The following is a 25,936-nucleotide window of genomic DNA, read 5'->3' on the forward strand; positions in this document are numbered from 1 at the left end:
GAAAAAGGCCACTGCTTGAGTCATGGCCCTCAGGCAAGTGGACTTTGGTGGCTCTGGAACACGGAAAGCCTGGGCAAATTGAATGCCTAATAGGGATTGCTTCCAGTGCAGTCTACAAAGACACTTTAAAAAAGATTGTCCAAATAGAAATAAGCCTCCCCCTGTCCATGCCCCTTATGTCAAGGGAATCACTGGAAGGCCCACTGCCCCAGGGGACGAAGGTCCTCTGAGTCAGAAGCCACTAACCAGATGATTCAGCAGCAGGACTGAGGGTGCCCGGGGCAAGTGCCAGCCCATGCCATCACCCTCACAGAGCCCTGGGTATGCTTGAGCGTTGGGGGCCAGAAGGTTAACTGTCTCCTGGACACTGGCACGGCCTTCTCGGTCTTATTCTCCTGTCCTGGACAACTGTCCTCCAGATCTGTCACTATCTGAGGGGTCCTAGGACACGCAGTCACTAGATACTTCTCCCAGCCACAAAGTTGTGACTGAGGAACTTTACTCTTTTCACATGCCTTTCTAATTATACCTGAAAACCCCACTCCTCTGTTAGGGAGAGACATCCTAGGAAAAGCAGGGGCCATTATACACTAGAATTAGGAGAAGGAAAAAGGGTAAATATATATACAGACTCTAAGCATGCTTACCTAGTCCTCCATGCCCACACAGCAATATGGAGAGAAAAGGAATTCCTAACTTCCGAGGGAACACCTATCAAACATCAGGAAGCCATCAGGAGATTATTATTGGCTGTACATGCCACCTAAAGAGGTGGCAGTCTTACACTGCCGGGGTCAGGAGAAAGGAAAGGAAAGAATAGAAGGGAACCGCCAAGCAGATATTGAAGCCAAAAGAGCCACAAGGTGGGACCCTCCATTAGAAATGTTTATAGAAGGACCCCTAATATGGGGTAATCCCCTCTGGGAAACCAAGCCCCAGTACTCAACAGGATAAATTGAATGGGGAGCCTCAAGAAGACACAGTTTCCTCCCCTCGGGATGGCTAGCCACTGAAGAAGGAAAAATACTTTTGCCTGCAGCTAATCAATGGAAATTACTTAAAACCCTTCACCAAACCTTTCACTTAGGCATTGATAGCACCCATCAGATGGCCAAATTATTATTTACTGGACCAGGTCTTTTCAAAACTGTCAAGCAGATAGTCAGGGCCTGTGAAGTGTGCCAAAGAAATAATTCCCTGCACTGCAGGCCATTTCAATCCCTGTATCTTTAACCTCCTTGCTAAGTTTGTCTCTTCCAGAATCAAAGCTGTGAACTATAAATCATTCTTCAAATGGAGCCGCAGATGCAGTCCATGACTAAGATCTACCATGGTCCCCTGGACCGGCCTGCTATTCCATACTCCGATGTTGATGACATCGAAGGCACCCCTCCCGAGGAAATCTCAACTGCACAACCCCTACTATGCCCCAATTCAGCAGGAAGCAGTTAGAGCAGTCGTCAGCCAACCTCCCCAACAGCACTTGGGTTTTCCTGTTGAGCGGGGGGACTGCAAGACAGGATTAGCTGGATTTCCTAGGTTGACTAAGAATCCCTAAGCCTAGCTGGGAAGGTAACCACATCCACCTTTAAACACAGGGCTTGCAACTTAGCTCACACCTGACCAATCAGGTAGTAAAGAGAGCTCACTAAAATGTTAATTAGGAACCTGCACATTGTGCACATGTACCCTAGAACTTAAAGTATAATAAAAAAAATTTTTTTAAATGCTAATTAGGCAAAAACAGGAGGTAAAGAAATAGCCAATCATCTATCGCTTGAGAGCACAGGGGGATATAATGCTTGAGTGCACAATGATTGGGATATAAACCCAGGCATTCAAGCCAGCAACAGCAACCCCTTTAGGGTCCCCTCCCATTTTATGGGAGCTCTGTTTTCACTCTATTAAATCTTGCAACTGCAAAAAAAAAAATTTAATGGAAGTGCTAGAAATAAAACACATGATAAAAGAGATGAACAATTGTTTTGACAGACTTTTTAACAGACTGGACAGTTTTAAGAAAAGAATCACTGAACTTGAAGACAGGTCAAAAGAAGTTACACTGAAACACAAAGAAAGAAAAAAGGTTTAAAAAAAGGTAGAGAGGCAAAATAGAGCATCTAAAGCTGTGGAATAATACCAAATGTGTTAATATATGTGTAACTGGAATCCTAGAGAGGGAAAACATAGAGGATGGGGGCGTATATCTGAAGAGACAGTGGTCAAGAATTTTGAAGAAATATTAAAAGACACTAAACCTCACCTCCAATAAGCTCAGAGAACCAGAATCAAAACAAATACCAATACTCAGAATAATATTTATTTTTTATTTTTTATTAAGGATATATATGTATACATACATATAATTTACTATCTTTACCATTTCTACGGGTACAGTTTAGTGGTAATAAATACATTCATATTCTTTTATTTCCTTTTATCCTTGTCTACTCCCTTCCCTTCCCAGCCTCTGGTAACCATCAGTCTACTCTCTATCTTCATGAGTTCTACTTTTTTAGCTCCCACATATAAATGAGATCATGCGATATTTGTTTTTCTTTGTTTGGCTTATTTCACTTAACATAATGACCTCCCATTTCCATCCATGTTACTACAGATGACAGGATTTCATTCTTTTTTATGGTTGAATAATATTCCATTGGGTATATGTAGCACATTTTCTTGATTCACTCATTCATTGATGGACACTGCTTGAATCTGTATTTTGGATATTGTGAATAGTGCTTCAATAAAGATGGGAGTGCAGCTATCTCTTTGATACATTGATTTCCTATCTTTCAGATAAGACCCCAGTACTGGAATTGCTGGATTATATGATAGCTCTAATTTTAGTTTTTTAAGGAACTTCCAAACTGTTCTCCACAGTGTCTGTACCAATTTACATTCCCACCAACAATGTATGAGGGTTCCCCTTTCCCCTTTCTCCATATCCTTGCTAGCATGTGTTATTGTTATTGCCACTTTTTGATACAAGCCATTTTAACTGGGATGACTTAACGTCACATTGTGGTTTTGATTTGATTTGCATTTCTCTGATGATAGGTGATGTTAAGCATTTTTTATATACCTGTTGGCCATTTGTATATCTTCTTTTGAGAAATGTCTATTCAGATCTTTTTCCCTTCTTTAATTGGATTATTAGATTTTTTTCCTACAGAGTTGTTTGAGTTCCTTATATATTCTTGTTATTAATCCCTTGGCAGATGGATAGTTGCAAATATTTTCTCTCATTTTGTGGATTGTTTCTTCACTTTGTTGATTGCTCCCTTTGCTTTTTAGAAGTATTTTAGCTTTATTTACTAAATAAATCCCAATTGTCTCTTTTACTTCAGTTGCCTGTACTTTTGAGGTGTTATGCCAAAAAAATCTTTGCCCAGACCAACGTCCTAGAACATTTCTCCATTATTTTCTTCTAGTAGTTTCATAGTTTCAGATCTTATATTTAAGTCTTCAATACATTTTGATTTAAATTTTGTGTATGCTGAAAGATAGAGGTGTAGATTTTTTCTTTTTCATGTAATTTTCGTAACACAATTTATTGAAAAGGATTTTCTTTTCCCATTGTATGTTCTTGGTACTCCTTTCAAAGATGAGTTAATTGTAAATGAATGCATTTATATCTGGATACTGTATTCTGTTCCATTGGTCTAGGAGTCTATTTTTATGCCAATTCTATGATGTTACTGTATCTTTGTGGCAAAGTTTGAAGTCAAGTAGTGTAAGGCTTCTAGCTTTGCTGTTTTTGCTCAGGACTGCTTTGCCTGTTCAGGAACTTTTGTTATTCCATATAAATTTTAGGATTTTTTTTCTATTTCTGTGAAGAATGTCATTTTTTTATACAGATTGCATTGAATCTGTGTATTTCCTTGGGTAGTATTATCATTTTACACTATTATTTCTTCCAATCCAAGAGCATTGAGTAGCTTTCCATTTTTGTGTCTTTTTCTATTTCTTTCATCAGAGTTTTACAGTTGTTCTTATATAGATCTTTCACTTATTTGGCTAGACTGATTCCTAGGTATTTTATATTTTTATAGCTGTCATAAATGAGGTTGCATTCTTTATGTTTTTCAGATTATTCACAGTTGGCATATAAATGCACTGATTTCTGTACATTGATTTTGTATCCTGCAACTTTACTGAATTATGAACAACTATATGCCAACAAAACAAGGCTAATGTGACTCCTTTTAATAAAAGATGCCCTTTATTTCTTTCTCTTGTCTAATTGCTCTGGCAAGGACTTCCACTATTATGTTGAATAATAGCAGTGAAAGTGGACATCCTTGTCTTGTTCCAGTCTTTAGAGGAAAGGTCTTCACATTTTCCCCATGAGTATGATGTTAGCTGTGGGTTTGTCATATGTGGCCTTTTCTAAAACTATGTCCCTCCTCTACCCATGTTGATGAGGGTTTTTATCATAAAGGGGTGCCGAATTTTATCAAATGCTTTTGCAGGTTCTATTGAAATAATCATATGGTTTTTGTTCTGGATTCTGTAATATGAAGTATTATATTTACTGATTTGCATATGTTGAACTAACCTTGTATCTCTGGAACAAATCCTATTTGATCACGGTAAATGATCTTTTTAATATGTTGTTGCATTAAGTTTGCTAGCATTTGGTTGAGGATTTTTGCATCTATGTTCATCAGGGATATTGGCCTCTATTTTTCTTTTTTTATTGTATCTTTATCTGGTTTCAGTATCAGGATAACTCCAGCCTCAGAAATGAGTTTGCAAGTATTTCCTTCTTTTCCATTTTTTTGAAAAGTTTGAATAGAACTGGTATTAGTTCTTCTTTAAATGTTTGGTAAAATTAAGCAGTGAAGCCATCTGGTCCTGGGCTTTTCTTTGATGAGAGATTTTTTACTATGGCTTAGATCTCATTACTTGTAATTTGTTTATTGAGGTTTTCTATTTCATCATTCTTCAATCATGGTAAGTTGTATATGTCCAGGAATTTATCCATTTCCTCTAAGTTTTCCAACTTGTTGGTTTGTAGTGGCTCATAATAGTCTCTAATGACACTTTGTACTTCTGAGGTCTCATTTGTTACCAGGTAGGAGATCAGCAGGGTTTGTCTTCTGAGCACTGGTCATGACCCTGCTGAACAAAACAGGTTGTAGCAAAGAAGCCAGACAAAAACAGGTAGGACTAGGTATTACAATGTATTTTCATAAGACATTCCCACCAGCAACAGTTTATAAATGTCATGGCAACAACCTGGAAGTCAATTTATATGGTTCTAGGAACTCCCTGCCCTTTGTCCAGAAAGTTTGTAAATAACCCACCCCTTAATTAGTATATAATTAGTAGTAGGTGTAAATATAACTAGCCTTCAATCTGAGTGCTACTCTGCCTATGGGATATCCCTAATCTGTTTATGAAGCAGCCATTTTTCTATACACTGTTGCTCAGATAAACTTACTTTGTTTCACCCTCAGCTCACTCTTGAATTCATTCCTGAGTAAAACCAAGAACCCTCCCAAGCTGAGCCCCAGTCTTGGGGTTTGACTGCATCAGTTATATTTTCTTTATTATTTCTGATTTTATTCATTTAAGTCTTCTCTCTTCTCTTCTTAGTCTAGCTAAGGGTTTGTTAATTTTATCTTTTAAAAATACAAATTTTTATTGCATTGATCTATAACTTTTGTCTCAATTGCATTTATATTTGCTCTGATCTTTATTATCTATTTCCTTCTACTAATTTGGGGTTTGGCTTATTCTTCCTTTTCTAGTTCACTGAGATGCATCATTAGGTTGTTTATTTGAAGTCTTTCTACTTTTTTGATGTAAGCATTTATTGCCATAAACTTCCCTGTTAGTACTGCTTTTTCTGTATCCCATAGATTTTGATATGTTGCATTTTCATTTTTATTTATTTCAAGAAATTTTTAAATTTTCTTCTCAATTTCTTTATTAATCCATTGCTCATTCAGGATCCGGTTGTTTGATATCCATTTGTTTGTGTATTTTCAGAGGTTCCCCCTTGTTTTTTGATTTCTAGTTTTATTTCACTGTGGTCAGGAAGGTCACCAGATATGATTTCTGTTTTTAAATTTGTTTAGACTTGTCTTGTGGTCTAAGATACGGTCTATTCTGGAGAATGTTCCATGTGCTGATTAAAAGAATGTGTATTCTACAGCAGTTGGATGAAATGTTCTGTAAATATTAGTTAGGTTTACTAGGTTTAGTATGTAGTTTAATGTTTCTTTGTTGATTTTCTGTCTGGATGATCTGTCCATTAGTAACAGTGGGGTGTTAAAGTCCCCTATCATTATTGTATTCCAGTCTATTTCTCCTTTTAGACCTATTAATGTTTACTTTATATACTAGGAACTCCTTTGTTGGGTGCATAGATATTTACAATTGTTATATCCTCTTGCTGTATTGACCGCTTTATAACTGGATAGTGACTTTTTTGTCTTTTTTTATAGTCTCTGATTTGTAGTCTATTTCATCTACATATAGCTATTTCTTCTCTTTTTTTTTCAAGTTGCATAAAATATTTTTTCCACCCTTTTACTTTCAGCCTATGTGTGTCTTTATAGGTGACTAGGGTTCTTGAAGACAGTATATAATTGGGTCTTGCTTTTTTGTCCATTCAGTCACTCTGTGCCTTTGAATTAGAGAACTGAGGCCATTTATATTAAGTGTTACTATTGATAAGTAAGGTCTTACTACTGCCATTTTGTTGCTTGTTTTCTGGTTGTTTTGGGACATCTCTCTTCCCCCCTTCTTTTCCTACTATCTTCCTTTGTGGTTAAGTGGGAATATCTTTTAGTTTGTTCCTTTTTATTTTTGTGAATCTATTATAGGTTGTTGCATTGCAGTTACCATGAGGCTATTTTAAAAAATCTTACAGCAAGTTATTTTAAAGAGATGACAACTTATCTTAGATCACAAACAAAAGAATAGAAACACAGGCAAAGACAAATACACAAAAAAATTCTACGCTTTAACTCCATCCCCGCCCAACTCCCATATTTTTACTTTTAGTTGTCTCAGTTTACATATTATTATAGTACCTGTCTCTTAACCGGTTGCTGTAGCTATTATTGTTTTTGATAGATTAATCTTTTGAGCTTCATACTATAGTTATGAGGAATTGCATACCACAAAAACAGTGATGGAGTATTCTGAGTGTGTCCATGTACTTTATTTTACCAGTGGGCTTTATACCTTGAAAAGTTTCCTTTCACATGTTAGTGTTTTTATTTTCTTTCAGATTGAAGAACTCCCTTTAGTATTTTTTTATACGAAAGGATTAGTGGTGCTGAATTTTCTCAGCTTCTGTTTGTCTAGGAAAGAGTTTATCTCTCCTTCATATCTGAATTATAATTTTGCTGGATACCATTTCTCACATGGCAGTTATTTTTTTTTTCTTTAAGCACCCTAAAATGTTGTTCCACTCCCTCCTGGCCTGTATGTTTCTATTTAAAAGCCTGTTGCAAGACAAATTGGAACTCCTTTAGGTGTTATTTGCATCTTTTCTTTTGCTGCTTTTAGAATCTTCTCTTTGTCCTTGACATTTGAGAATTTGATTCTTATATGTTTGGGGTAGCCTTATTTTGGGTTGAATCTGTTTAGTGTTCTAAGATCTTCCTATACATTGATATTTATATTTTTAATTTTGGAAAGTTTTCTATTATTTGTTTAAATAAGCTTTCTTCCCCTTGCTCTTGTTCAGATGCCTCTTGAACACCATTAATTCTTAGATTTGGTCTTTTAATGTAATTTTTAAATATCTTGCAGGCAGTCTTTGCTCCTTTTCATTCTTTCTTCTTTTTTCTTCTATGACTGTGTATTTTCTAATAGCAGGTCTTTGAGTTCATTCATTGTTTCTTTTGCTTAGTTCATTTTGCTATTTAGAGCCTCTAAAGAGTTCTTCAGTTCAGCATATGCATTTCTCAGTTCTCAGCTGTGTGTTTTTTTTTTAATTTTAATCTCTTTGTTCAATTTTTCTGATACATTTTTGAATTGCTTTTCTGTGTTATCTTAAAGATCACTAAGTTTCTTTAAAATTGCTATTTTGAACTCTTGTTCAGAGAGCTGACAAATCACCTTCTTGTTAGGGTCAGTCACTGGATTTTTTCTTTGTCCTTTTGGGGAGTTTGTGGTTCCTTGTTTGTTATTGTTTCTTGTGAGTTTTTATTTATGTCTTTGCATTTTAGGATTAGTTATTAATCCCCAAATTCTCTGACTGGCTTGTTTTGGTTTTCATTTAGTATATTTGCTTAGTAAACCTTTACCACTATGTCTCTGCCTCCTGTTCAGCTCTAGATAGTTCCTTAAGCTCACATTTGCCACGGCTCTATTAAATAGTTGGAGCATTGCCTGTTCCAAATAGGGGAGATCCAAAGGGATTATCTGGCAGTGTGGAAAGGCTGACCAGGGGTTCATGTTCAGGGACCTGTGAACCATACCTCCTGCAGCATAGTGCCACTGAACAGCCACTCTGATTTGGTGTCTCCTTTGGCCAAGTTACAAAGCAGAGTCCCCAGGGATGGGGATGGTAGTCCTACCTACCCGCTTTGTCCCTGCCTGTCCTCAGAGATATTTCTCTTTGGGGCACTCATGATGCTTCCTGTGGTTTAAGGCAAAAAAAAAAGTCTCCTGCCAGGGAACCCAAAAAGGTGGAAAAGATCACTGGTTACCTCAATTTCACTTCTTCCAATGAAGAAACTGTGAGTTAGGTGGCGATTTTCTGTGTGTTGGTGCTGAGCAGAATGTGGGGAAGGGTAATGCAAATGTAAAAGTCTTATTATTCTCCTCCCATCTACTCATTTTTCCACTTCTCTATGGCCCTGGGAACTGTCTCATCCTCATATTTGAGCTTTAGGTTGTTGTTGGTAAAAATCTCAGTGTTGTATATTTGTTTTTAGTTTTCTATGATGGGGAGCAAAGCCAACTTATCTCACATCACCATTTTGGAAGCAGAAGACCCTCTATATTTAAACTTCTGAAGACCAAAATTGCAGATGAAATATCAAAGATATACAGAGTAAAAAAATCATTTCATAAAGAGGAACAGACTTCTTGTCAGAAACTGTGAAAGCAAGTTGATGGAGTGACATCTTTAAAGTATGTAAGGAAAATATTGTTAGCCATAATTCTATGTGCAGTAAAAGTATCTTTGAAAAATGAGGGTAAAATAATTTTTCATGCTTTCAAAAGCTGAGACAATTCATTTCTGGCAGGCTTACATTACAAGAAATAGTAAAGGAAGTTCTTCAGGCATAAAGAATGTTATACAAGACATAAACTTGTGACCATCCTTTACAATATCTCTTATAAAAATCTTCAACAATATATTAACAAATCAAATACAGAAATATATTTAAAAGGTAATAGATTATGAACACGTGGTATTATTCCTAAGATAGAAAGGTTGGCTCTACATTTGAAAATCAATTAATGTAATTCACAGATTAAGAGAGTAAAGAGAAAAGCTATATATAATCATTTCAATGAACACAGAAAAAGTTTGGACAGAATTCAAGATCCATTCCTGGGGGAAAAAAACAACACTCTTTGGATCACTCAACATTGTTAAAATATCACTTAACTTCCAATTAATCTACAGATTCATTGCAACCTCAGTCAAAATCTCAACAGGATTTTCAGTAGAATTATTAAGCTTCTAAGCTTATATGGAAAAGCAAAGCAACTAGAATAGCCAAATAAGTCTGAAAAAAAAGAATAAAGTTGAAGGGCTTACACAAGCTGATTCCGAGACATACTAAAAAGATATCACAATAAAGGTGATATGGTATTGGTGAAAAGATAGAAACATAGAATATTGTAACAAAATATAGCCCAGAAATAGATCCACAAATGTGATCAACTGAGACAGACAAAGGCTTAAAGGTAATTCAGTTGAGAAAGGAAAGTCTTCAATAAATAGTGTGGAAAAATTAGATGTCCATATACCAAACATATGGATTTTTTACCTATAATTCACAGCACACACAAAAATTAATTCAAAGTGGATCATAAAGCTAAATTTAAAACCTGAAACTGTAAAACTTCAAGAAGAAAACATAGGAGACAATTTTTTTGACCTTTCTGACCAAGTACTTTTTGACCAAGTCCTTGCATCTGAATCTATAGAGAACTCTTACAACTCAATATTAAAAAGACAAAAACCCCATTAAAATATAGGTGAAATACTTGAACAAACACTTCACAAAAGAAGATAGAAAAATAGCTCATAATCAAAAAAGTTATCAATATCATTAGTCATCAGATAAGCTAAAATTAAAACCACTACATAATGCCATTACACATTTACTAGAATGTCTGAAAATAAAAAGAATAACACCAAAAAAGTTAACAAAAATGTTGACAGTTTTATAAAGTTAAAATACACCTACTTTATGATCCAACAATTCAACGCCAAGGTATTCATCCCCCCCAAAAAATGAAAAGTCCACAAACATACTCATACAAGAAAGTACATAGAAACTTTACTAATAATAACCTAAAACTATAAACAACCCAAATGTCCACTAAGAGGAGAATAGACTCCAAAAATTGTATTCTATATATTCCAACAACTTAGCCAAACTACTACTCAGACAAAAAGTGACTACTACTGATACTATTGACACATGCAAAATTGTGGATTCATCTCATAGACATTATGCTATGTATGCAAAAAAGTATATATTCAGTGCTTCCATTTATATAATGTTCCAAAGCAGGTAAAGTTAATTTACGGTGGAAAAAAAAAGATCAGAAAAATAGTTATCTGGGCAGGAGGGACACTGCATGGGAAGGGACATGGAAATCTTTCTAGCATGATAAAAACATTCTGTATCTTGATACAGGTTTGAGTTACATAAGTGCAAGCATTCATAAAAATTCATCAAATAGTCCTCTTAAGATTTGTGCATTTCATTATATATGAAATTTACCTCAAGGAAATTGGCAAATTTTAATATAATTGTTACATTTGCTTTGCACGGAAGTATGGATTAGAGATTATCAAACTACTCCTTGTGTCTTCTTGGTTTGAGCAAATGTATAAATATATTCAAGACAATTCGAGCCAGTTTTCTCATTGTTAAAGAAATTACAAATATGGAAAAAGAAAAGATGAAAATGTGGTATGCGATGTTACATTAGAACAGTCAGCATGAACATGAAGGATTTTTAAATAGATAGATAAATAGTCAAATAAATATAGATATGTGTGTACTTATTTATATATCTGTGTATTTTTTTTTAGCTTTGTCTCCTGAGGGGGCATAGGACCAATGACACATCAGGGCAATGTGCATACGTAGTACCTAGATCTTTATTTATAAATAGCATTTTCCACCAAAAGGAACTAATGCACTTGGAGAAAAGGCTAATTTCAGGACAGGGGCAGAAAAAATATATATAATGAACACAGAACATCTTCCTGTGGCAGAAGGTAAAGAAGTGCTCACAGAATTATGTAAAAAAGATACAAGAGTCTACCGCAGGTTAAATCTGGGGAAATTTGAGCCTCAAAATAAGTAATTGTGATAAGCAATTATAATCCACTGAGTGAAGTAAAATCCATGTGTCCATGCTGATATGAATACATATATCAACAGTCAATAAATGGGGAGAGGAACACTTCCTTACAATAGAATAGCAACTAATAATTATAGAAGGATAGAATTAGAAAATCATCAATAGTTGCTAAAAATTCATGTGTGAAAGCATTCTAAAGAGCTGAATATTCAAATAGCCTTAAAGAATCTTTCATAATCAATTTATTAATCATAGGGGAAGATAGTAACTTCACAGTGGAGGAATGTTATGGGCACCATCACAACCAAGTGATCAAAATTAAATTGTCAAATGTTGGGATAAGCATACTGATATTGCTGCAACATCACTTCCGTGCTAATCCTGCAAAAATAAAAATACCAAAGTAATATGTAATAATGAGAAAACATCAGGCAAACTCAAGTTGAGAGACTATAAAATAACTAACCTGCACTCTTCAAAAATGTCAAGGTCAGAAAACACAAAGAAAGCCTGAGATATTGTTCCAGTTAAATGACCAGAGAGCCAGGACCAAAAAATGCGATGCACGATCCAGGACTGGATTTTGAGCCAGGACAGATGGAGGAAGAAGAGGAATACCTATAAAGCGTTGGTCCTCAACCTTTTTGGCACCAGGGACCTATTTCATGGAAGACAATTTTTTGGGAGTGGCTGGTGGTGGGGCTAGTTAAATTCTCATAAGGTGCACACAACCTGGATCCCTCGCATGTGCAGTTCACAATAGGGTTCTTGCTCCTGTGAGAATCTAATGCGGCAGCTGATCTGACAGGAGGCAGAGCTCAGGCGGTGATGCTCTCTGGCCTGCGGCTCACCTCCTGCTGTGTGGCCCGGTTCCTAACAGGTCAGGACCCGTACCAGTCCACAGCCTGTGGATTGAGAACCCTTGATATAAAGGACATATTGGAAACAATTGACAAAATTCAAATATTGACTGCTGATTGCATCATCATAATCCATAAATGTTAAATTTCCTTATTTGTAATTATACTGATTATGAAAGAGAATGTATTTGTTCCTAGGAAATACACACTGAAGTATTAAAGGACAGAGAGGTGTGATGTTTTCATATTTCTCTAAAATGGTTCAGGAAAAATTAATATTCATAAATAATATGTCCAGATTCAAACCCAAAGGCAAGCTTATTAATTTATCTCAAAACTGAGTTAATGTGTTTAGTTGTTAACAACTTATTCTTTTCTGAAGATACAAGTGGCATGCCTACTTACATCGCAATTTTGAGAAACAGATACAACTTGTTTTGTGTCAGCTATAACCCTAATTCTGGCATCACACTTGTTTCTCTAGTAACACATACCACAACATTTTGAGCCACGTGTTTCAAGCTTTGAAGACAAGCCTCTACTTTAAAAGGTTATCTGGTGGGAAGGTTAATGAGTATTAAAAAAAACGTTAGAAAAAATGAATAAGACCTACTGTTTGATAGCACAACAGGGTGACTATACTCAATAGTAAGTTAACTCTAAAATAACTTAAAGAGTGTTTGCAACTCAACGGATAAATGCTTGAGGGGATGGATAACCCATTCTCCATGATGTGCTTATTTCACATTGCATGCCTGTATCAAAACATCTTCTGTATCCCATAAATACATACACCTACTATGTACCCACAAAAACTAAAAATTCAAAAAATTTTAAAAACGAAATGGTCATCTATTTGTTATTTTTCTGACAGATGTAAATTTGATTCTCGTTAGTTCAATTTGTGTTGAGCTAAAACTAGAAACTATCTTTTATTTGTAGAAATGAAAGAAAAATAAAAGTTTATATTCACTCTGGTTTTTAAAAAGTTAGAAATGTTCATTACAAATACCTCCCCAAAGTGTTCTAGGGAGGATTTAATGGGATACTCTAAAGCTTTCAACATAATTCTTGGATAATATGAGTTTCTCAATAAACATTAGTTTTTATTATCTTTATATCAGCAGCACCTACCTAGCACCTGAAATAAAATAGATATTGAATGAAAGAGTAAATGTGCAATTGATTGATGTGTTTAGGTGTGTGTGTACGTGTGTGTGGCTCACGTATATAATTCATGCACATATAAAGTATATTCACCTGACTACACACACACAGGTGCCCTTCTTTACCATGGGGTACCTTCCTGCATAATGGGACTCCATCTTGAGGCCGTGTCTATCCCGCCTACCTCACTAGTTTCCTTCCACTACACTGAAATCACTTGCAACTTTACCTCCTTCATCTTTCTTTTCTAGGAAAATTGTATTAATGATAATTAGAATGTATTTTAATACCATAAACATGACTTTTCAGTTGATCATAGTTCATCAATTAGCTATGATGCTCCAAACACAAACAAACAGGTGTGTGCGTGCACACACACACACACGCACACACACACAGTTAGAAGTCAGGTGCCTTCTTGCATCTACATTCAAAAGCCTCAGAATTTTATTTACATTAAAAAATCGCCTTCAAGATGTGAAACTCATCATTAATTATTAATAGGTAAATGTTGAGCTTTACCTGTATGTCAGGCTCCAGGATCTCATGGTTGCATTAGGCTTCTTTTCTCCAGTTGCTTCCTAAGCATGGTTCCCACTCCCAACTCCCAAGGCTACCCAAGGCTGCTAGAGCTTTAGACACTGCATTCCTATTTCAGGAAAAATGAAGGAGGAACATTCAAAAAGAGCACAGCCCCTCTCTTTAACGACATGTCCCATGAGAGGCAAACACCCCTTTGGCCAGAACCTAGTCACTTGGCTGCATCTAGGTATGAGAATGGTTGAGGAATATAACCATTACATGGGCTTCCATGTGCCTAACAAGAAGTTAAGAGTTTTATTACTGAGGAAGAAGAAGAGAACAAATATGAGAGAAAACCAGCAGTCATAGCCAGCATACTGTAGAGGAAAAAGTACACAGTCTGAAAAAGAATATTAAAAAAAAATGAGGTTAGACTTCTGGCTTCTGTTAATACTTGTGCCAGGTCAAGCAAAGCTTAGCTTGTCCCCAAACATCTAACACTGGTTAAAACAAAACAAAACAAAGCAAAACAAAAAAACCAGCAATAGGCCAGGTGCAGTGGCTCAGGCCTATAATCCCAACACTTTGGGAGGTCAAGGCGGGCAGATCACTCAAGGTCAGGAGTTCGAGACTAGCCTGGCCAATGTGACAAAACCTTGTCTCTACTGAATACAAAAATTAGTGAGACGTCATGGTGGGCGCCTGTAATTCCAGCTACTTGGCAGGCTGAGGCAGGAGAATCTCTTGAATCTGAGAGGTGGAGGTTGCAGTGAGCCGAGATCACACCACTGCACTCCAGCCTGGGCGACAGAGTAACACCCTGTCTCAGAAAACAAAACAAAACAAAACAAAAACAGCTGTACCATAGACACAGAGGAATAGTGGAAGAGGAATATAGAACAGTGCTTTTCACACCTTAGCGTGTATTCAATCCAGGAATCTTCTTAAACTGTGTAATCTGATTCAGTGAGTCTGGGATGGGGGCTGAAATTCTGCATTTCTAACAAGCTCTCAGGTGATGCCCACACTGATAGCCCATGGAACACATGTGCAGTAATATTAATCAAATCTGAGAATCCATCTTTCCCTTTCTTAATAAAACATATCGTTGGCATTCCCCCGTTTTACCTTCCATGGTTTTAACTATTAAGTTGCCTCAAGGGTTTAAGACATATGGTGGTTTGTCATTTGCTAACACAAAAATTAATTAGTTTTCCTAGATTATTTGATTTTATTCCTTTTTGGAAAGCTAGTTATAAATGCTATAATATTCAAAAGATTAAAAATGCAGTGAAAAATAACCCCCTCTCTCATCTCTGCTGGCCAACTAACTCCTCAGTTCTACTCCTAAGAGACAAACGCTGCTGCCAGTTTTGATGTGTCCTTCCAGAAGTGCTCTGTACATACAGAAGTAAATGTGTATGTTACACAAATGGCACTAAATTATATAAATTATCTTGAACATTTGCTTTTTATTTAACATTATATCTTGAAGATAATGCCTCTAAAATACATAAAGAATTCTCTCATTTTTTAAAGAAACAAATGTATAACAGTTCACTCTCTGGATGTGTCTAATTTTTTTATGAGTATGAAAACTGTTTCTATCATTTTGCTAAATAACCTTGCATGTGTATTACTTTGCACAAGTGTGAGTGCTTTTGTAGACGAGTTCCTAGAAGGAGAATTGTTGAGCCAAAGACTGTGTGCATGTTTTATTTTGCTAATACTACCAAGTTGCCCTCCTTTGAGGTTTTAATAAGTTACATCCCCCTCAGCACAATATAAGGGTGATTCACTGTGAGGCTAGTGTTTGTGAAGTGTTGACTTGTCCATTAAATAAATTCAGCATGTACTGAAGACAACAGCATGGCAAAGGCATCAAAAAATGGAGGAAAAAAGGTTTTTAAAATGCCAAAATTTCAAAAGAATTAAAATACTCATTTTGGGAACAGCAGAAACTTTACTTTGTGGTTTAGTGCTGTTTTCCATTTGGATTACATATATGAAGAGACACAATTTTTTCAGTGCTTAAACCACTTAAGGTCTAGTCCAGCCATGTGTGTGGGAGTGATTCCCTTAGTAATTGGGTGACCCTAGTCAGCCACCTAGCAACTGCATTTCAACCTGCCAATAACATGCAGTGTTGAAGCTTGAGCTAGACAGAGTTGGTGTCTGTTGCTCATTATGGACCAAATTTTATGCCAGGCCACATCAAAGGCAATGTGAGTCCCTTAGTTTCAGCCAATATGTGATTTCTTCTTAACACATGTGTTAGTCCGTGGACCAACAGTTAGAGCAAAAGCTGCTTCCTCTTAAAAGAAAAAGAATCTATTCAGTTCACATTCCTCAGAAGAAAGCAACCAAACTGCTGGATGCTTTATGGGCTCTCCAGTTTGAGCATCTATGAACTTGAACCTAAACATCATTACGAACACGGCTGTTCTTTCCTCGAGGCATATAATCTTTTCTGAGCTTCAATTCTATTTGAAGCTTCTAATTCACAGTTTGAAAATATGCTTTGTCCTCTGAGTAGCCTTTCTAAACAAGTATTGGCAGATTTGAATAGACGGTTCTACGTGCTTCAGTTGCCAGGCACCTGCATTCCTAGAAAGACTAGCAGAAAACTAAGTGCCCTTGGAAGCCTTATAAGATGTGCTTCTCTTTCCTGGGTTTCCCACTTCAGTCAGCTCCTGAAATTCATGCCCTCTAAATTATCAGATGCCTCAATTCCACAGAGGGACTATGTACTTACCTCTAGAACCCAACCATGTTTCTCCAATATGTTTTCTAGCACATCACATTTCTCATTTGGAGTGGATAACTGGTTAGCAGTGCTATGTTTCCCACATTTTAAACAGCCGCTAGCTATTCCATTTCCTTTGGCCTGGATCTTAATACTTTAAGAAGAGAATGACTATTTTCTTTAGCTGCACTTCATGAGAGAGAAAAAGTGACAAGCAGTTAGCTCGACCTGAATACACACCTTATTGATTATATTCCTGTAGAGATAACCCATCCACTGGCTCCTGACACATTAGACAGGACTTGCAAGCAATTGACACCCAACACCCACTGCCTTGTATATTCAAATACAGCCTTCCATTTTCCCAAGGAGGAAACTTGAAAATTAAAAAATAAATTATTAGCCCAAATCAATGCTTTTAGAAATTTATGTCAAATAGTCAAATACCTATGTATCAATACTTCATATTATTTTTACTCCATATTCAAAATTATATATAAAATAATATAATAGGAAACTACTGGGATAACTTTTTTATAATGAATACTATGCATTTCTTTAAATCAGTTTATCACACTCTTCTGATGCATTCTCACTTTCAATAAATCATTCAACACAATTTTCCCAGAGTGTATCATTGTAATTTCTAGATTTTTCAGTATAGCATTTTTTGAATCTGTATATGATACTGTCCCTGGAAGTTTTGTCCCAAGCCATAGGATATTCACATAATATATAACGGGTATTTTTCCCCATTCACCCTAGAGTTGCATATTTCTGATGTCCATAAGTAAACCTTTTACTGTATTATTATAACATCCAAAGTTACATTAATTTGTCTTTTGAAACAATGACAAAATGTATTTTGTCATTATTAATGATCAACATTTCTAATCAATTTTAGATTGATTAGATTGATTGATTAGATTAATTACAGGTAAAGCTCAACATTATCAGTACCCAAAACTAGCACTGGATGAAGGTTATTTCAGGCTCATGTGCTCCCCAGACATCATTGAACATTGTTATTCAGAATGAAACCATTGAGAGGGTCCCCTAAATAGGATAAACTATTTTCTGAGGTACAGCTATAAAGAGGGAAAACAAACCTGCAGACATAGACCTCCCACAACATTGCTAGCACCTTTTGTATTTGTGCCCTCCTCTGCATTCTCACGCGTGAGATGGTGAGATAGGTTTATTTTTTGTATTTATAGATGGACACATATGGCACCTCAAGCAAAAGAAAAAGTGAGGGATGGGCAAAATCCAGGATGGGGGAAGTAAACTGCAGGGATCCTGGGATGGGTCACTAAAGTGAAGAAAGAATAGTAAGGACCAAGAAAGAATAGCTCCAGGAACCTCGAGAACTGCACTGTGTCTGTGCTCTCAGAGCCTTCCCTCTTTCCTCTATTTAGCTTCATCCTTTCCTCCTCTAGATAGTTTCTCTATGGAACACATAGTCATGGTACAAATCCTCATTATTTTAGTTCCATAAGCTGACAAGTAGTAAACCATCACCCTCTCACTTCCACCATATAAAATTCCAGGAACTATTTCTAGTTTTTATATTCTAAGCCAAACACATGTTACATGCTCTAGTTTTGCCAGCACTAAAAATAATTTAAAAGATAATTATTAAAATTTAGTAAGTATGCAGCTCCACTCCAAAACAAGATGGAAGCCTCAAAGAATCAGACATTGTGAGGAATCTTCAAGACACTGAGAAGAGACAGGATTGGAGAGAAGAGGGAAAACCACACACCATCTCACAGGTGAGAATCCAGAAGAGGGCACAACTACAAAAGGTGCTAGCAATGTCATGGGAGCTCTGTATCTGGAGGTGGCAGAAGCTGGGATCATGAGGGGCGACCAACATAATAATGAGATTTGTGGGCATACTTCAAGGGAAGCAAACAGACTGGTTGACTAACTATAGATCTCCACCTGCCTTCTGCAGGCCAATCACCTGCAACAGAAAATGTCTTCAGGTGGGATAAGTGTCTGCGTATCTGATCATTTCAGGGGAAAATTAACAGTTTAGCTCAGAAGACCAATAGATGGTGCCTCATGCCTAAGGGTATATCCCACCCATCCCTGGCTCTCAGAGAAAACAGTTCAAAGCATAAAACTTAATAGTAGCTTCACCCAATTTTCTTTAGTGAGATGCACAAAGACCATTATGGAACAGGAAATCTAATCTAAAAAAATTATCCCATAGATAAGAATTTTCAGATTTCTGAAGAGTGAGACATGAAAGACAGACAATAAATACAATTTATTGTTGAGTAAAATGACTTAGTCAGACAACTAGAAGAAGAACAAAAGAGCAATCTGGATGCTGACATGTCCAAATGGGGTAACAGTGGCAATGACATCATCATGCTGGCCAAGCAGACTTATGGTAATGTACATGCTAATGATAGAGATGACTGACTTTACCCAATGTGAAGGACTGCTCAAAAATTCATCAGACAAGATCAGTGCAGCCAAGAAAATTGCTAAGACAAGATCTAGGATGGATCAGCTTAACTTTATCGTTACAAACTACTGCTCAGACTCAGCCTGGAAGCCGCACTTGCTAGCCCACCTGCAGCACATCACCCTCTACTGCCACCACCTCAACATCTGCAGCAAAATCATGGCCATGGTTCATAACCTCAGTGAGGAGCTTGTCATCTCCAGGATGGACAGCACAGTAACCCCAATCCAGCAGCCAAGGAATTGCTGAACATTGTGTTTGTACGATGAACATCGTGGTACAAACAGTGAAGGCATCCCACGTGATCTCCATCAAATGCCAGTAAGAGAAGTATATGAGTCCCATGCAGGCCTTCGGCAAGTTCAAAGCTATGGACAGCATCTAAAGTCTGCCCTAGCCAGCAGCCCCCACCCTTCTGAGTCACAGTTTTTCTTTTCTTTTCTGAGATAGCATCTTGCTCTGTTGCCCAGGCTGGAGTGCAGTGAGGACTGCAGCCTCCGCCTCCAGGACGGAGGCAATCCTCCCACCTTAGCCCCCCAGTAGCTGGGACTATAGGCCCATGCCACCACACCCAACTAATTTTTATTTTTTGTAGAGACGGGGTTTTGCCATGTTGTTCAGGCTGGTCTTAAACTTGTGGGCTCAAGCAATCCACCCGCCTTGGCCTCCCAAAGTGCTGTGATCACAGGCATGAGCCACCACACCCAGCCCTAGTCACTGTTTTTCATTCATCAAATACATTTGCTAAGGAGAATACTGATGTGAAATTCTATTGGGAAATAGGCAGATTTTTAACTTGGCCAACTGGTGAATTTTGCAAGGACATGTTTGCATTTGAGTTGGTCAAAATATGCACTCAGTATCTAGCAGCATATTTCCAGCTATATTTTTTCTAATCTAAAAAAAAAAGAAACTTCTAAGGCAAAAAAAATTAAGGCCCAGCACTCCAAAATAAAGATATTATATCAGAAAGATGAGGAGGGATATTGTACCCATAAAACAAGAACAGTTATGAAAAAGAATACATCCGAGGCCTTAGAAATGAAAACAAATTATTGAAATCAAAAAATTTAGTTATTAACTACCTAATTGGATACGGTTGAAATGCAAATTAGTGAGTTAGAAGATGAAGCTAAAAAAGCACACAGTGTAAAAGGATAAAGACCATGGAGAATACATCCAGAAGTGCCAAACTTAATCTACAGAAGAAAGTGAGAATAAAGTAGCTAAAGAACAAAAATGCAGATTTTGTCAGAATTAAAGAAAGCTATGTGTTTTTACCTGAAAAGGACACTGAACTGCTGTCCCATAATTTCAAACCCAGACTCTGTCCTTTGCTTGATGGCGCTGGTTCCCTGTTCCTCTCTGCCAATGTGTGAGACTCTGCACTATTGTGAGACTGGGAGCCTGAAGGAGGAACAAAGGATTTGCTCCTTCCTGTTTATTCCCTGATTCTATCAGTGTCACTACAGCAATGGTTCATCAACTAAGAGCACCAGTTGATTCCAGTTTACTTGTTTCTTCCAATTTGCATTTTTCCCACACTAACAAAATAGTCATTTCCTCACCCCCACCCCCAGTCCCCTAGAGCCGCCAACACCAACCAGCCAATACCTCTTCAGAAGTCCGTCCTAGTTCCAAGGGTTTCCTCTTGTAAGACCAGAGACACCAGCTCCAGTCAAGCAGCTATCAATCATTCAGAAGTCTGAGTCCCACCATCATGGAACTGTATTCCAAATTCTTGAGGTACAAGTACCAGCCAAAAAGTGTCCCTCCATCTCAGAGTTTGAGTCCCAAATGTACAAGGACTGCTCATTTACACCTTAAGGTTTTAAGAATCCCAAATCCTTCTCTTTGTACCCTCAGCAAAAGGAGTAGTAGCTTCTTTCTGTCACTGTTGGCTCTGGGATACCTCACTCTCTCTTTTGTCTTTTCTTTACATAAGATTGTTTCTTATGAAATAATTGGTATAATTCTTGTCTCTGTATGCACCCTGAATGATACAACTCCCAAAATTTCTGGTATGAACATAGCTGCATAAGTCAAGGTGTCACCCTTTGTCCTCTTGCAAGGAGACATTGAGAATGAGTAGAATAAAATATCCTGCAAACTCCAATTTTTTTTTCTTTTTGAGACGGAGTTTTGCTCTTGTTGCCCAGGGAGGAGTGCAACAGTGCGATCTCAGCTCACTGCAACCTCCGCCTCCTGGGTTCAAGCGATTCTCCTGCCTCAACCTCCAGAGTAGCTGAGATTACAGGTGCCCGCCACCATGCCCAGCTAATTTTTGTATTTTTAGTAGAAACGGGTTTCACCATGTTCTCCAGGCTAGTCTCAAACTCCTGACCTCAGGTGATCTGCCCGCCTCGGCCTCCCAGAGTGCTGGGATTACAGGCGTGACCCACTGCACCCAGCCTACATTTTTAACACAACTAGGAGACAGATAACATTTTCAATCTCCAGAATATGTATAGGGGTTGCCAAAAGTAGCTGAAATCAGGTATAAACTAGTGTGAGAAAGAAAGAGAAGTAAAGAAAGTTAAAAAAAAAAAAAGCCCAGCAACAGCATAGTTCATAATGTGCCAGCAAAAACATACAGTTCCAGAGATATGGGACTCATCAGAAATGGAAAAGTTATACCTGCTGTTTGCAAAAATGGGGTCAGAAATTAGGATGAACAGGACTGAGATTGGGCTGAAACCACATAAGCAAAGTAGCAAGAGCCCAGCAGTTGCATATCTCAAAGCACTGGCAAGGATACACTACTTGCAGGTGAGAGGTTCACCCTGCTGTGTAAAACCTGCATCCTTTATTTACAACAATGGCAGCAGGAACTGGAGCAAACATAATAGTGGAAAAAGCACCCAGGGCTGAATTTAGTTCAGAGTTGTCAGAGTAGGAAGCTATCAGCTGGTGCGTGGGTGAGTGCTGGGGGATCCAAAGCAGAACACCAAAAGCATTTGCTGCATGAATTTTACGGGCTTGAGTAACATGTAATGCAGCAGAGTTAAGTAGCATTCCTTTGTCCCCATCTTTTTACAGCAGTAACATCTGGCAATCTTGGATTCTAAAATAAATAAATAAATAATAATAAATGTTAAAAACAACTTGATAAAAACAGTGTTGCATCCACTCAAGCCTTAAAAGCCTTTATACTGAAGCACCACCTGTTCTGAAGTAAGCCTTTACTAGACAGAACTAAAACACTCTGATCTGATGCCAGTATCAGGCACACCCACCATATCTGCTCTCAACAATGTACAGCAAACCACACTGATTAGAGACATGCTAAATCCTCTTCTCTGGTCACACACGAAGGCTCTTTCTTGCTACAGGGTAACCTTGTCTCCAAATGAGAATCTACTCTGAAGTTTTCCCAGTATTATATGTTGGAAGTTCCAGGTACTAATTATACCTTTCTTCTTCTCCAAGTTCTGAACCAAATTGATAAGCAGATATGAGTCAAATAGGAGGGGAAATATCAGTTATGTTCATAATAAAGTTGAAACAGAGAACAAAGCTTGTACTAGAAATTGAAATGTGCTTTTTTTAATTTTTTTATTTTTATTTTTATCTTAGATGGAGTTTCACCCTTGTCTCCCAGGCTGGAGTACAGTGGCATGATCTCGACTCACTGCAACCTCTGCCTCCTAGATTCAAGTGATTCTCCTGCCTCAGCCTCCTGATTAGCTGAGATTACGGGTGCCCACCACCACGACTGACTAATTTTTGTATTTTTAGAGAGACGGGGTTTCACCATGTTGGCCAGGCTGATCTCGAACTCCTGACCTCGTGTGATCCACCCGCCTCGGCCTCCCAAAGTGCTGGGACTACAGGCATGAGCCACTGCACCCAGCCTGAAATGTGCTTCCTAACTTACCTCCAACAGCTAAAGTATCTCACTGACTTCCAGGCAGAGGATGGGAAGTTGTGGGGCCTGAGCAAGCACATCATGGTTTCCACCAGTATTTTGCATAGAGGAGACAGCCTAGAAAGAATGACAAATCTCACCAATCAAAACAGCTGGCTGTACAGGAGAGAAGGCAAAAAAAACAGACCACTCATGAGCACTGCCTCTTGCCCTGATCTCATCAGCAAGATAAATCGTCCCACTCGTGTTGAGGAAGTGGGAGGAAGAGGTGGGAAGAATGAGAAATATTGTTTCAATGCTGTTTTCTCCCTAAGGGTAGGCAGAACTCCCCTCCATGCTTTAGAAGAATAAATAAATAATAAGCATAAGCTCTTCTACGTTTCCTCAGTTCAGCTTCCCCCACTCCACTGGAAAGAACCTACTAGACAGAAAGAAACTAAAAATATAAAGATAAAGAAAACTAATAAGCAATTTTCAACAGGGGACTGTGGGACTTAAACAAAAATGCTGGCTGTGAGGGGACACATCTTAAACAGAAAATAGTCCACCCATCCTCTGACGCTGAGAGAGGAAGGTGAAAGTAGATGCACATATAGACAGAGGTACAAAACTGGTAAGTCGGGGAAGTTAAAGCCTGATTATATCAGTTCTCTCTGTGAAGCAGAAGACAAATCATCTTGAAGGAGAGGGAATCAAGAAGGGTGAAGGTTTAGAAGAGCCACAACAGTGAATAGTAGTGAAAGTTATTTTTGGAGATCGTGAATCTGTTGGACACAAGCAATGCCATTCCTTCTAGCATAGTTTTGCATACTGGGGATGGAGCAGAGAAGATGAATGGTTTGATTCATTAATGCTTTCCTTCTTTACTTGGCTCTCAACACATCACATTCCCATGGTTTCCTTCTACCTTATTGGCCATTCTACTCAACCTCCTTTGATCATCCCTTTTCAGTTTCTTGACCTCTAGACTTTAAAAATGCCTCAGAATCCACTTGTTGGACATGTTTTCCCTCTATTTACTTTCAATATTCATGTTGAAACTGAATCCCCTTGTGGTGAAATTAAGAAGTGGGACCTTTGAGAATTGACTAAGTAACAAGGGCTCTGCCCTCATAAATGGATTAGTGCCTAATTAAAAAAATACGTTGGGGGAAAATAGCTGATGCCCCTTTTGCCCTTCCACCATTCTGCTATATGAGAACACACCATTCATCCCTCAGGAAGACACAGTAACAAGGCAACATCTTGGAAGCAGAGAGACTAAGGCCCCACCAGACACTGAACCTACAGTCACCTTGATCTGGGACTTCTCAGCCTCGAGAACTTTGAGAAACACATTTCTGTTGCTTATAAATTACCTAGACTCAGGTATTTTGGGACAATAGCATGAACAGACTAAGGTGGTCATATTGATAGTATGTACCCCTCATACAATGTGTTGAAAATGACACTTAACCTATATTTTATTCCTTCTCTAAGAATCCATAGCCCCAGTATAATCATGGGGGAAAAACAGATCCAAATTCAAAAACATTTCACAAAATATCTGAATAATACTTCTCAAAACCTTCAATGTCGTTGAAAACAAAGTAAATCTGAGAAACTATCACAAAAAAAAGTAAATACAAACCAGGAGGATCCTGATGAGACAGGACAACTAAATATGGTATAGTATCCTAGCTAGGATCCTGAAACACAACACAGACATTCATTTGAAAATAAGGAAATCTAAATGAAATGTGTGTTTTAGTTAATAACAACCTGTCAATATTGGTTCTTTTTTTTGTGTGCACACAAATGTGCGTCCCATGATAATATTAGGTGTTAATAATAGGGAAAACTGGGTGTGGGGTATGAGAAATCCTTCTAGACTATCTTCAGAATTTTTCCATACATCTAAAATTAAAAGTTTATATTTGAAAGGATTGTAATACATTATGGTACTGATATTTGAATTTAATGATTTATAATAGGTACTCTCTTTGTTTGTTTTATTTTGTTTTTGAGACAGTCTGTTTCCCAAGTGGAGTGCAGTGGCACAATCGTAGCTCACTACATCCTCTAACTTCTGCCTTCAAGCAATTCTCCTTCCTCAGGCTCCCAAAGCATTGTGAGTACAGGTGTGAGCTACCATGTTCAGCCAATAGATTCTCTTGAACTAGACCCTAGTATTTAATAAAGCAACTACCACAACCCGAATAATAAAAAACTAATCATATTATGACATGTCATGGTTTTGAAAAATTGGCTATTTAAGGAAAAAATTAGTGATAAATTCTTACTTTACCATTACAAATTGATTGAAGAGTTAAATGTAAAAAAAACTCAAGTAGAGAAATAAACTAGGCTTTCAGGAAAAATAAAGGATCAAATTCCAACACAGTTTCTACCAACAGCCTCTGCCACAACCACAATCCTGTGGGTGTGAAGAGTGTGTGGGGGTGGGAAGGAAATAAAAAGTCATCATGAAAAAGAAGAAAAGGAAGGAGAGAACTTAGAAGAAATACAAACAAAAATCATCTCTAGAAGAAAAAAGTAGAACAGTAAATACAAAAAAATACCGAACACAGGCTGGAAACAAAACCCTGACTATGGAGAAAGTACTTGAAAGTTTGTAGGTCTAGAAGTACTAGCCTCAGAGAACCAGCTTCTGTAGAAGAATTTGGGAAGATAAAACCACACAACATAGAAATTAAACAACCTGGTACTGAATGACCTTTGGGTAAACAATTAAGGCAGAAATCAAAAAATTCTTTGAA

General features: G+C 37.5%; 1 protein-coding gene across 1 annotated transcript in view; it reads right to left on the minus strand.

Moving 5' to 3' along the window:
* Window positions 1-25,936, minus strand: part of SRD5A2 (steroid 5 alpha-reductase 2) — a 140,530-nt gene that overhangs the window by 109,757 nt on the left and 4,837 nt on the right. Inside the window, exons 2-3 of the mRNA XM_011533072.3 lie at window positions 16,837-17,011; window positions 14,082-14,208 (exon numbers count right to left, since the gene is read on the minus strand). Coding sequence (XP_011531374.1) covers window positions 14,082-14,107 — 26 coding nt within the window. The 5' untranslated portion in view covers window positions 14,108-14,208; window positions 16,837-17,011. The remainder of the gene's footprint in view (window positions 1-14,081; window positions 14,209-16,836; window positions 17,012-25,936) is intronic.

The sequence above is a fragment of the Homo sapiens genome, chromosome 2 (assembly GCF_000001405.40).
Source record: "Homo sapiens chromosome 2, GRCh38.p14 Primary Assembly".
Lineage (NCBI taxonomy): Eukaryota > Metazoa > Chordata > Mammalia > Primates > Hominidae > Homo > Homo sapiens.